We start from the raw sequence: 14,446 nt of genomic DNA on the forward strand, positions 1-14,446 counted from the left end.
TTATATTACATATTACATATTACTTTGGTGTCTTTGTTTTCATCTCCCATGTTGTTTCAGGATTCCCTGAGAACTCCTTCTTAGCTAGAGTTTGCATCCTGCAGCTCCTTCATCTGTTACACTGGAGACGTGTTAGGTAATGACAACCAATGGGGAAAGGTAAGAATTCAGTAATATTATAATTACCTTTCAGTTTTTGGTGGGCCTTTGACCTTCACAAGTCTGTTTTATTTTGTTTTGTTTTGTTGTTTTGAGTTTTCTCCCTTAGGGGAGGTAGGAAGGCAAGAGAGAGAGAGAGTCTGAGAACTGTCCTTCCTAGTGGGATTCTGCTATGGTAACGTCATTTTTCCTGGAGTAGGCGTTTGTTATGGAGAAGACCATGGGAACATTTCATGGTGGTTACTCTTCCCATTTCCTGCCAGAGACAGGAGGAGATCTTCCTTGACTTTTCAACATGAAAATCTGGTAGGGTTCCTGAAGTTAAAATTCACATTAGTGTGGGAACTCCCCTAAGACTATGGTCCTTATAAGTTTCTCACTCTCAAAGTACTCCACATTAAGCCTCCAGAATTTTTCAAAATGATCACTGAACTGTTCTTACTAGTTTATGGCTTCAGCAGCTCCTGCTCCAGGTGAAATGTCTGCTGTGACTGTGTATTCACTCATCTCCCCAGATGTGGTGGTGGTGGTCTGTCCTACAACCTAAATTATCCCTGCATCCAAGAACAGTCATTGCTTTCAAATTTGTTCAGTTTTTTCTTGTTGTAAGGCTGAAAGCAACAACTTCTAACCACTTTACATGTTGAAGCTGACAAAAAAGTAGATTTTCTCTTAAATTTCAATCAAAACTTCAGCAAGTTGTTTTCCACATATTGACAAACTGATGCTAAATTTTCTATGCTGAGGCAAAAGATTCAGAATAGCCAACACAAACTTAAAGGAGAAGAACAAAGTCAAAAGTCTGACACTACCCAATTTCAAGACTTATTATAAAGCTATAGTAATTCAGGCAGTGTAGTATTACAGAAGGAATAAACAAATAGTTCAATGGAAGGGAATAGAAAGTCTAGAAATAGACAGACATAAATAGTAACAATTGATCTTTGACAAAAGATCATGGGCAATACAATGGAGAAAATATAATCTCTTCAATAAGTGGTGCTGGAACAACTGAAGTTTCACATGCAAATATATTTTTCTAGACACAGACCTCACATCTTTTACAAAAATTAGCTCGAATTAGATCATTGACTCAAATGTAAACTGCAAATCTACAAAACTCTTAGAAGATAATATAGGAGAAAATCTGGATAATCTTGGGTATGGTGATGTCTTTCTATACACATCACCAAAGGATCCATGTGTCAATGCAAAGAGTCAGACTCTAAAATATTTGAAGAGATTTATTCTGAGCCAAATATAAGAGACTACGGCCCATGACACAACCCTCAGGAGGTCCTGAGAACATGTGCCCAAGGTGGTCGGGGCGCAGCTTGGTTTTATGCTTTTAGGGAGGCATGAGACATGAATCAAATACATTTAAGAAATATATTAGTTTGGTCCAGAAAGGTGGGACAACCCAAAGAGGGGTGGGAGGGTGGCAATTCTAGGCTAGGCTATAGGTAAATTTAAACACTTTTTGGTTGATAATTGGTTGAGTTTGTCTGAAGACCTGGGATTGATAGAAAGGAAATGTTCAGGTTAAGATAAAAGATTGTGGAGACCAAGGTTCTTTTGAAGTCTTACAGTGGCTGCCCTTAGAGAGAATAGATGACAAATGTTTCCTATTCAGACCTTTAAAAGGTGCTAGACACGGCCGGGCATGGTGGCTCATGCCTGTAATCCTAGCACTTTGGGAGGCCAAGGCAGGCAGATCACGAGGTCAGGAGATTGAGACCATGCTGGCTAACATGGTGAAACCCTGTCTCTACTAAAAAAATGCAAAAAATTAGCCGGGTGTGGCAGCATGCACCTGTAGTCCCAGCTACTTGGGAGGCTGAGGCAGGAGAATCGCTTGAACCCGGGAGGCGGAGGTTGCAGTGAGCCAAGATCGCACCACTGTACTCCAGCCCAGTGACAGAACAAGAATCTGAGTCAAAAAAAAAATTAAAAAAAATAAATAAATAAAGGTGCTAGACTCTTAATCTCTTCAGGATTGGGAGGGCCTGGAAGAAAAATATCTAGCTATGTTAATAGAGATTCTTTACAGATACAAATTATCCCCTACAAAGGACAGCTTTGGAGGGCCATTTCAAAATATGGCAAAGAAACATGACTTTCTTCTTTGTCGCGTAATGTTACGCCAGAGTCAGACTGGAAAGTAAGTCATGATATATAGGGTTAAATGAAACCCATCTGACGATAATTTATGGTTTGTACGGTATGACTTCCCAGACCCTTTAGATAGGAATTTTGGGAAGATAAAAAAATCAGAGCTTAGTCCTCATTTGGAAGAATTAACTGATAAGCTAAACTTCATTAACATTAAAAATTTCTGCTCTTGAAAAGATACTGCCAAGAAAATGAGGAAAGAAGACAGTCTACTGAAAAAAAATTGCAAAACACATATCTGATAAAGGACTATTTTCCAAAATATACAAAGACCTCTTTAACTCAATGATAAGAAAGAGAACAATCTAACTTAAACACTGGCAAAGGACCTTAACAGACACCTCACCGAAGATCTACACATGGCAAATAAGCATATGAAAAGATACTTAACATCATAGGTCATTAGGAAATTGCAAATAAAAACAACAGCGAACTACCATTACATACCTATTTGAATGGCCAAAATCCAAAGTACTGACAACACCACATGCTTGCAAAGGATGTGGAGCAAAAAGAACTCTCATTCATTGATGATGGTAATGCAAAATGGTATAGCTACTTTGGAATAAAACTTGGCAGTTTCTTTCTTTCTTTCTTTCTTTTTTTAATTAATTAATTATTTTTTGAGGCAGGGTCTCACTTTGTAACCCAGGCTAGACCTCAACCTCCCAGGCCCAAGCCACCCTCCAACCTCAGCCTCCCAAACAGCTGGGACTACAGGCGCATGCCAGCACACCCAGCTAATTTTATTTTCTATTTTATTTTATTTTAGTAGACATGGGGTCTCACTTTGTTGCCCAGGCTGATCTTGAACTCCTGAGTTCAAGCGATCTCAGCTTCCCAAAGCGATGTTAGAGTAGGCAGTTACACAGATATAAGCAGGGCAGGAGAGGACGCCTGCCAGGAATGTCAGGCAACCATCAGGTGATGGTGAGGCAGTTGCTACACTGTCGCTCTCAAATGATAATTGGTTGCAGCTGGTGCCAGGGGACAGCCAGTCTCCCAATAGACAGAAAACACCTGGAGCTGGTGATCAGACGTTTCCTGATAAGATCTCAGGAGTTGGGCAAGTGGGCTCAAGTATGCAAACTAAGAGGCAATAATAGTGGATTATGACCTTCCTCTGGGGGCGTTCAATGGGTAAAGGAAAATCACCCCTAGAAAGCATGAGCACAACCTTAGTAAATGCACTATGCATTCGGTCACTCTCCCAAGTGCAGACCCACACTACACATGCAGCAGTTGAGCAACAGCCCTCCCCATAGAAAAATCAAGGGAAGAGAAACACAAACCCTGAAACTAAGCCAATATAGAAAACCCCAAGTCAAAGGCTGAATGGGGCTCTTGGACCTCTCAAGTCACACTCTTGGGCCTCTTCCAGATGTATTTTGCTTGCTTTTGCTCCTGCTCTAAAACTTATAAAGAAACTCTTACTGCTGATCTAAAACTTGCCTTGGTCTTTCTCTCTGCCGTAAACCTACTTCTGCCCTAGGCCAAATTCTTTCCTCTGAGGAGGCAAGGATCAAATTTGCTGCAGACTGGTATGGATTCATCATTGGTAATATTGAGATTACAAATGTGAAGTCTCCATACCTTGCTGGCAGTTTCTTACAAAACTAAATATTACTGTTAACATACAATCTAACAATCCTACTCCATGATATTTGCTCAAATGTGTTAAAAAGTGTGTCTACACAAAATCCTGCACATGGAGGTTTACAGCAGCTCTATTCATAATTGTCAAAACTCATAAATAATCAAGATGTCCTTAAATAGGTGCATGAGTAAATAATATCCAGAAAATGTAATATTATTCATTGATAAAAAGAAATGAGCCATTAAGCCATAAAAAGATATAGAGAAATCTTAAGCATGTATCACTAGTTAATTCATGTGTTAAATTTATTTCTACATAAATAGCTAAGTGGTATATATTGTTTATCCAGAGGTCATCAAACATTCTCATTATGTTCATCCCACATTACCCAGAGCACTTGACTCATCATAGGCTCCCTATATATATTTGTTGACTGAATGGATACATGTGTATAAAAAAATGCCATTACTCTCCTCTGAACCATGCCTTGAGGCATTTTAAATATTCCAAAAAGTAACTACGAAAGTACCATAATAAATGTGACAATCATATTTAATGATAGCCAGAATAATTACTCTCATCACCTAAATAAAACACATGGCAGTAGAAGAAAAATAGCCTTACTATGCAGGAGATCATTAGGGCATATGTATTGATGGAGTCATGGTGGCACATTGCTTATTTTGCAGACATAGTAGTTCGGCATGAGTTCATTTCTATGAAAAGTTAAAGCTCCACATTTTCTGCTGCATATTTATTTGCAACATTTTAATAATTCAAATGAAATATTATTCATGTTATTAGATTTTGAAAGAATCAATGTTACCTATAAAATTTTTACTTGTCAATAAATAGTTACATCTATGACAGGTGGCAAACACACCTTTATCAGGACAGGCATTAAATTCTAGTGTCAGGCAAAGGAGAATGTAAGAAAATATCAGACAATGTGTCTATGGAAGCAAAGTGTTTATAGAAATCACTGGATAAGCGGTCTTTCATCCAAGTTTCACTCCAATTCAACCTTATATTAGCTTCTCAGGCCAACCAACAGCTGCTCAATCACATGGCTGTGTGATCACAGGTATTGGCTTTTAATTTCTGCAGGATAACTGTATTTTGGTAAAAATAATATTTGAGCAATAGAATAAGCTACTCAGGGAAACTCTGAGAAAACAATAATTAGAAGGGTTGAGCTAAGGCAAATGTTCTTTGATGGGAAGTTTGGGCAGAGGGAGAGAAGGTAAGCTTCTGTGTCAAGGAGATAACTGAAGAACACTAAATCAGTGCTTCGGAACAATTACCTCTCAGAACAGAATCCATTGCAGTGGACTGGTTAGTAAGTATTTTAAAGCCTGAACACAAATTTCTTGTGGGACAGAAATTTTGTTAAATGTGATTGTGACCGAGTCAGAATATTCTGAATATTCTAAATATCTTTTTTTTTTTTTTTTTTTTTTTTTTGAGACGGAGTCTCGCTCTTCCGCCCAGGCCAGACTGCAGTGGTGCTATCTCAGCTCACTGCAAGCTCCGCCTCCCAGGTTCATGCCATTCTCCTGCCTCAGCCTCCAGAGGAGCTGGGACCACAGACGCCCGCCACCGCGCCCAGCTAATTTTTTTATTTTTTTTTTTATTTTTTTTTTGTATTTTTACTAGAGACAGGGTTTCACCATGTTAGCCAGGATGGTCTTGATCTCCTGACCTCGTGATCCGCCCGCTTCGGCCTCCCAAAGTGCTGGCATTACAGGCGTGAGCCACGGCGCCCAGCCTACTCTAAATATCTTTCAGAATTTTCTGAAAGAATATTAACTGTTTAACATTTGTTCCCAATTCACCAGTTAAAAAATGTTATTTGTCTCTCTGACAAACTGACTCTTCCTCCACTGCTCCACCTCCTGAGATGGAACTTGGATGCCCCATGTCACTTGGATTAGTTAATGTAAGCTAGATTGCCCTAATAAATAGACCCAAAATGCAAATGGCTCAATTACAACAGTGATTTATTTATCACTCCTCTAACACTCAAAGGCTGGTGATCCTGGTGGGCCATTGATTCTCCTCCAGGCATTCAGGCCACTCTCATCCAATGGCTACACCACTTGTCCTCTGCATACAGCTAGCAGGAAGAACATCTAGGAAAGTCTCCTGATTTCTTACTATTCCCATCCCAGAGTGACTATTCCTTGATACCCGAAGCAGAAAGTTGTCCTAGTTTATGTTCTTCAAGAGTTGTGAGATTTTTTTAAAGAACTTCATTTTAATTGAAAATGTTAAAACTGTTATCTTTAGAAAACAAAACTCAATAACCACAATTTAAAAATTTCCACATATATGTACTGTTCTTAATAAATAAACAAAATATCTATGGGTTATGTGATGCTTTCATAATCATTCAAGACAAGCAGACCATAGCCTTTCTTTTAATTATGAAAGTTAAACAATTTTTGCATTTATACGTCTTCTCACCTCCACTCAGTCCACCTATTGTTAGTATCACCCATGAATGTGGTACCTTTGTTACAACTGATGAACCAATATTGATATGTTATTATTAACTAAATACCATAGCTTACCTTGGCATTTACTCTTTGTGTTGTACAGCACTATGAGTTTTGACAAATGGACAATGTCATTTATCCACTCTTAAAGTAACATACAGAGTAATTTCATGGCCTTAAAAACCCTCTGTGCTCTGCCTTTTCATCCCTCCCTTTTCCCCAATTCCTGACAACCACTAATCCTTTTACTGTCTCCATAGTTTTCTCTTTTCCGGTATGCCCTATAGTTGGAATAATACAGTATATATCCTTTTTAGACTGGCTGCTTTTACTATAAAATATGTATTTACGTATCTTCCATGTCTTTTCACAGCTTGATAGCTCATTGTTTTGTTGTTGGTGATCTATATTCCACAGAATGGAGGTAGCAGTTTGTTTGTTCATCTGCCTACTGAGGTATATTTGGTGACTTTCCATTTCTGACAATTATGAATAAAGCTACAATAAACATCCATGTGCAAGTTTTTGTGTGGACATAAATTTTTAACTCATTTGAGTTAATACCTAGGAGTTGATTGTTTTGAAAAGTGACTGTACCATTTTGTATTCCCACTAGCAATGAATGAGAAGTCCTGTTGCTCCACATCTTTACCAGAATTTGATATTGTCTGTTTTCTTGGATTTTAGCTGTTGTAAAAAATGGTAGTAATTAAGGCTACAGTTACCAAAGCAGCACAGCACTGGTACAAAAACAGACACATAAACCAATGGAAGAGATTAGAGAACTCAGAAATAAGACTGCACACCTACAGCCATCTGACCTTCGAAAACCTGACACAAATAAGCCATGGAGAAAGGATTCCCTATGTAATAAATGGTGCTGGAAGAACTGGCTAGCAATATGCAGAAAAATGAAATTGGACCCCTTCTTCACACCTTATACAAAAATTAACTCAAGATGGATTAAAGACTTAAATGTAAAACCCCAAACCATAAAAACCCTAGAAGAAAATCTAGGCAATACCATTCACAACATAGGCATGAGCAAAGATTTCATGATGAAAATGCCAAAAGCAACTGCAACAAAAGCAAAAATTAACAAATGGGATCTAATTAAACTAAAGAGCTTCTGCAAAAGAAACTATCATCAAAGTGAACAGACAACCTACAGAATGGGAGAAAATTTTTGCAATCTATTCATCTGGCAAAGGTCTAATATCCAGAGTCTACAAGGAACTTAAATTTACAAGATAAAAACAAATAGCCCCATTAAAAAGTGAGCAAAGGACACGAACAGACACTTCTCAAGTCAAGAAACAACAGGTGCGAGAAAGGTTGTGGAGAAAAAGGAATGCTTATACACTGTTCATGGGAGTGTAAATTTGTTCAACCATTGCAGAAGATAGTGTGGGGATTCCTCAAAGATCTAGAAGCAGAAATACCATTTAATCCAGTAATCTCATTACTGGGTATATACCCAAAGGAATATAAATCGTTCTATTATAAAGAAACATGCATACGTATGTTCATTGCAGCACTATTCACGATAGCATAGACATGGAATCAACCCAAATACCCTTCAATGATAGAATGGATAAAGAAAATATGGTACACATACACCATGGAATACTATGCAGGTTTAAAAAGGAATGACATCATGTCCTTTTCAGGGACATGGATGGAGCTGGAAGCCATTATCCTCAGCAAACTAATGCAGGAACAGACAACCAAACACCGAATGTTATCACTTATAAGTGGGAGTTGAACGATGAGAACACATGTACACATGGGTGGGAACAGCACACACTGTGGCCTGTCATGGGAGGGGGTGAGGGTAGGGAGAGCATCAGGAAGAATAGCTAATGAATGCTGGGCTTAATACCTAGGTGATGGGTTGATCTGTGTGTGCATCATGGCTTCTGTGCATCATGGCACACGTTTACCTCTGTAACAAACCTGTGCATACTGCACATGTACCCTGGAACTTAAAATAAAATTTGAAGAAAAAAAATGGGTAGTAATTATTTTAATTTGCAATTATCTAATAATATATAATATTGAACATAGTTTTATATGTTTATTTGCCATCAGTATATCTTCTCTGATGGTGTGTCTATTCAGATATTTGCTGATCTTTTAAATTGGGTTATTTTCTTACTGTTAAGTTTTAATAGTTCTCCATATACTATGGATACAGGTTCTTTATCAGATACACATTTTATAAATATTTTCTCCTGAGTCATGGTTTCTGTTTTCATTTTCTTAAAGCAGAAGTTTTTACTTTTTTTCCTCCCTCCACCCAACCGTATTTTACTTTTAGTTGAATCCTACTTACTGATTTTTTTTCTTTCATAGATTATGTGTTTGGTGTCATACCTAAAAAGTCACCACCAAACCAATGGTCGTTAGATTTTTTTTCTCTATTATCTTCTAGAAGTCTTATAGTTTTGAGTTTCACATTTAGTTCTATCCATTTCTGGCCACTGGTGTATTTTGATTTTGGAATTTGTTTAGTTCAGGAATTAGCAACTGTGTCAGTGCCCCTCAGTGGATATTTTGTGACATTACGATGTCATAGCTGGGAGTGAAGTGCTACTGACATCCGAAGTAGAGGTTAGGAATGCTGCTAAGCATCCTGCAATGTACGGAGCAGTCCCTCACATAAAAGGGTTATCTGGCCCACATATCAACAATGCCCAGGAAGAAGAACCCTGGTCTAGTGCATACTGCATAGCATTGCAGTGAGATATACATTCTCTGTTTTATGTATTACTCCACTAATTTTTTTAAGGAAAACATTCACTTTGCACTTATCCTTGTATCATACAGCTCCCCACGCATAGAGCCTTATAATTTGTAAAAATTTAGTAAATGGTTATTGAAAATTAATGTATATTTTTAGCCTTGAAGCAATTAAGTTACCACAATGGAAGATACAGATTAAATAAACTCATGAAACTGTGAAGACATTTCCAATTTAAATAATGCATTTTGCTGTCTTTAAATTAACTGATCACTACTAAATATCACAACATAATTTGAAGAAAATGTAAGCTGTGCTGATGGCAGATTGTAAAAACCCTATGATTTATAGTATAAGAATTATACATCTTAGACTTCTGGTTTAACCTGCTACATATAAAGAGCATGGGAGTTGTCAATCCTGCCCTTGAAGAACAAAACCTAAACAAACTGAAAATTAACAACTTTTTTGAGCCCATCAGAGAACTGAGGTTTCAAGGCAAACTATCACCCCCAAAATCAGCAGGAACAGATGAATCTAGAGAGTGGTAGCTGACATCTGCTTACCTGGAGCAGAAGCAAATGGAGCTATAAACTTCTAGGAATACTAAAATGGTAATTTTGTCTAACTACTGGAGCCTGTGTGTGGACTGGCATGAGGGCAAGAAACTTGGGGGGCTACAGTCTTAGGGAGCATTCCATGCTTTTTTGCATTTTACTTCCAGCGAATCCACCAGGTTTTCACAATACAGAGTTAAAAATTCCTTCCTCTCTCTCCCAGGGTAGGGGAGGAACACACACTGTGAAAGAAAACCAGGATTCTCCAAAAGACAGTCCTACTCTCTAGGGGAAAGACATTACCAGCTCCAATAATATATGGTGTCCTTGAGATTATATGTTGGTTACTGTTATTTAAAGAGTCAAAATTATTGATTTTTTTAAAAGAACCAGCTTTATGTTTCATTAATTTGCTCTGTTTCTTGTTTTCAACTAAATTAATTTTTCCTCTAATGTTTATATTTATTTTCTTCTGCTTACTTTATATTTAATTTACTCTCCTTTTCCTAGTTCCTAAAGTGGAAGCTGAGATTATTATTTTTTGAACTTTCTCTTTTTCTAATACACACATTAACACTATAAAGTTTCCTCTAAACACTGCTTATGCTGCATCCCACAAATGTTGAAAAGTTGTATTTTCATTTTCATTTAGTTCAATTTTTTTTAATTTTTATTGAAAGTTCTTGTTAACACGTGTTATTTAGAAGTGTCTTGTTTAATTTCAACATATGTTCGGATTTTCCTGTTATCTTTCTGTTACTAATTTCCAGTTTAATCCCATCATGATCTGAGAGTATACTTAGTAAGATTTGGAATTTTTTAATTTGTTAAGGCATGTTTTATGGCACAGAATGAGATCTATCTTGGTGGATGACCCATGTGAGCTAGTGAAGAAAGTGAATTAAGCATGGGCAACTTAGTGAGACCACTTCTCTACAAAAGATAAAAAAAATTCACCAGGTGTGGTGGCTGACACCTGTATCCCAGCTACTCAGGAGGCTGAGGTGGGAGGATTGCTCAAGCCCAGAAATTTGAGGCCGCGGGGAGCTATGATCATGCCAGTGCACTCCAGCCTGGGTGACAGAGCAAGACCCTGACTCAAAAAAAGAAAAAAAAAAAAGGAATGTGAATTATGCTGTTGTTGAATTAAATATTTTATAAATTTCAATTCACTCAAGATGACTTATGGTGCTGTTCCCTTCAAATATGTCCTTAGTGGATCTGTCAATTACTGATGGAGGGTGTTGAAATCTTCAATTATAAGAGGAGATTTGTCTATTTCTCCTTGATGTTCATTTTTGCTTCACATATTTTGACAGATTGTTCTTCAGTATATACATATAAGGGTTGTTATGCATGCTTGGAGAATTAACCCCTCATTATTATGTAATGTTCCTCTTTAATCTTTGATATTTTTTCTTAAGTCAGTTTAATCTGAAATTAATAGTTACTTTAGTGTTTTTTATGATTAGTGTTAGCACAGTTATTTTCCCATATTACTTTATTTACAACTTATCAAAATCTTTCCATTTGACATAGATTTCTTGTTAGACAACATACAGTTGCATCTTTGTTTTTCTCCTATTCTGATAGTCTCTGTCATAATTGGCATATTTAGGCTATTCATGTTTAATGTGATAATTGCTATTGTTGGATGAACGTCTACCGTATATTTGTTACTGCTTTTAGGAATTTGCTGTCCTTTTTATTTTTTTTATTCCACTATTTTTCTGCCTTATCTGGGTTTTTTTGGTCTTTTTGGGGGGGCGGTGGGGGACAGAGTCGCACTCTGTCGCAGGCTAGAGTGCAGTGGTGAGATCTCAGCTCACTGCAACCTCCGCCTCCCAAGTTCAAGCAATTCTCCTGCCTCAGCCTCCCGAGTAGCTGGGACTACAGGCGTGTGACCATGCCCAGCTAATTTTTTTTTTTTTGTATTTTTAGTAGAGATGGGGTTTCACCATGCTGGCCAGGATGGTCTCCATCTTTTGACCTTGTGATCTGCCAACCTCGGCCTCCTAAAGTGCTGGCATTACAGGTGTGAGCCATTGCACCCGGCTTTAATTGAGAATTTTGTGTGATTCCACTTTCTTTCCTCTCTTAGCATATCAATTATACTCATTTACTCTTTTTAGTGGCTATCTTATAGTTTGCAATATACATTTACAACAAATTTAAGTCTGCATTCAAATAACACTATACTTCTTCAAAGGAGTGCAAGTACTTAAACGAGTGTCTCAATTTCCCTCTCCTGTTCTTTATAAAATTGCTGTTATTCATCTCACTTATCAATAAGCTAAAATCACAGAATATATCACTCCCATTATTTTGAACAAACTATTATCTGATAGATTAAGAATAAACTATTTTATTTTACTTTATTCTTCTAAAACTCTTCCTTTCATTATGTAAATCTGAGTTTCTAATCAATGTATATTTTCTTCTCTTTGAAGAAATCCTTTTAACATTTCTTGCAAGGTAGCTCTATTGATGCCAAATTCCCTCAATGTTTTATGTATTCTAATTTATTTATTTATTTATTTTGAGACGGAGTCTCGCTCTGTCCCAGGCTGGAGTGCAGTGTCATGATCTTGGCTCACTGCAATCCCCACCTCCTGGGTTCAAGTGATTCTCCTGCCTCAGCCCCACAAGTAGCTGGGATTACAGGTGGCTGCCACCACACCCTGCTAATTTTTGTATTTTTAGTAGAGACCATGTTTCACCATGTTGGCCAGGCTGGTCTTGAACTCTTGACCTCAGGTGATCTGATCCACCTGCTTTGGCCTCCCAAAGTGCTAGAATTACAGATGTGAGCCAGCACACCTGGCCAATGTTTCCTTTTTCTACATTTTTGAGAACACTTTTTATTTCTCCTGTATTCCTTCCACACCCGTGACAGCTTATTTCAAGGTTTTCTCTTTGTCTTTGATTTTTTTGCAATTTGAATACAATACAGTAGGTGCTTTTTTTTTTTTTTTTGCTTTTTTGATTTGGGGTCATTTCGGATGTTTATCCTGTTTGATATTCTCTGAGATTCCTGTATTTTGTGTCTGTCATTAATTTTGGAAAACATTGCAGAGTGATAATTTCAATTTTTTTTGTTTTTTTTTTCTCTCCCTTCTTTTTCTACCATTCCCATTATACATATGTTATACCTTTTGAGATTATCCCACAATTCTTGAATGTCCTGGTTTTTTGTTCTGGGTTTTATTTTTCATTCTTTTTGTCTTTGCATTTAATTTCACAAAGTTTTTATTGACATATCATCAAGCTCACTGATTATTGCCTTTGCTATTTTCAGTCTCCAAATGAGCCCATCACAGGCATTTGTCATGCCTGTGATACAGTGTTTTTTATTAGTAGGATTTCCTTTTGATTCTTTCTTAGAGTTTTCATCTCTCTGTTTATATTAATGATATGCTTTTGCATGTCATCCACTTTTCCCATTCTGGGCGTTAGCATATTAGTCATATTTAAATTGAAATTATTTTAAATTATTGGTCTAATAATTGTAGTATCTCTGCCATATCTAAGTCTGGTTCTTATCCTTGCTGCGTCTCTTCAAATTGTGTTTTCCTATTGTATGCCTCGTGATTTTTGTGTTGAAAGACAGACATGTTGTAATGGGTAATGGAAACAGGTAAAAAGGTCTTTAACATGAGATTTTATGTTTCTTGGGCCACGAGTTAGACAGTGTTTACTGTTTGCTGTTGCTGTGGATATCAGAGGCTAAAATTCTTCTGGTGTCCTTGTTTTTTCTTCCCTCTTGTCTTTGAGTTTCCCTAGACACTTCTGAAGTGATGTCGTTCATCTGGAGTAGTACCTGAGGTTCATTGTCTCACATCAAGGAAATCAAGGACATGGACACACAAGGAGTGAGGTTAAGAGTAGAGATTTAACAGATGAAAGACAGAGAAAGGTTATCTCTCCTGCAGAGAGGGGCTCCTGAGTGGGTCTTCCGCTTCCATGGTGAAATGCACAGGGTTTTATAGATGAGTTTGAGGAGGCAGTGTCTGATTTGCATAGGGCACAGAGAATTGCTTGGACAAGGTGTGCCATTTATATAACACGCAAAGAAGCCTGCCATCCCACCCTAGTATTTTATATGCAGATGGGGTCCCTATCTGGCCAGCACCATGTTGCCTGCTTCTTTACTGTACATGTGGCAACATAGAAAACGGAAGAGAAAGCCTCTATGTTGAACACAGCTGGCCCCCAGGTAGCCTTTTCCTAATGGCACACCTGCTGGCATTCACCAGTGCAAGCTTCCAGCTTGCTTACCTATGTCTGCAGCTCAAATTTATATGCTGCAATTTGGGGGCTGCTCTTCATTAAAAGGGAAGCCTTACCAATGACTCTCTTACCCTCATTAACTGCCCAAATAATTTCATTTTAACTCCTGTATCACTTCATCTTAAATAAGGTCTGAGATGTGCAGTTTTGTGCAATGTAATGCCCAGTCACAGAGGCCTTGTTGAGGTAGTAATAAGCTGTGAGAGGAAGGCATAGCATTCTGTGGGCCTGTAATTTGCTCTCAGGCTTTTACTGAGTCTTTGTCCTTGGGCTGTGACCTTCCCAAGTGCTTCTCAGTCCCTTCCCCACCCTAGATGAAATAGAAAGGCTAGACGGGTCTGGAATTGGGTAATCCCCTCTTCCAGGTTGGTTAGGCACTGGTAAAATCCAAGTCAGTTAAACTGTAGATAAAGAACTCGTCTTGAAAGTA

This window comes from Homo sapiens, chromosome 2 (genome assembly GCF_000001405.40).
Source record: "Homo sapiens chromosome 2, GRCh38.p14 Primary Assembly".
NCBI classification, from domain to species: domain Eukaryota; kingdom Metazoa; phylum Chordata; class Mammalia; order Primates; family Hominidae; genus Homo; species Homo sapiens.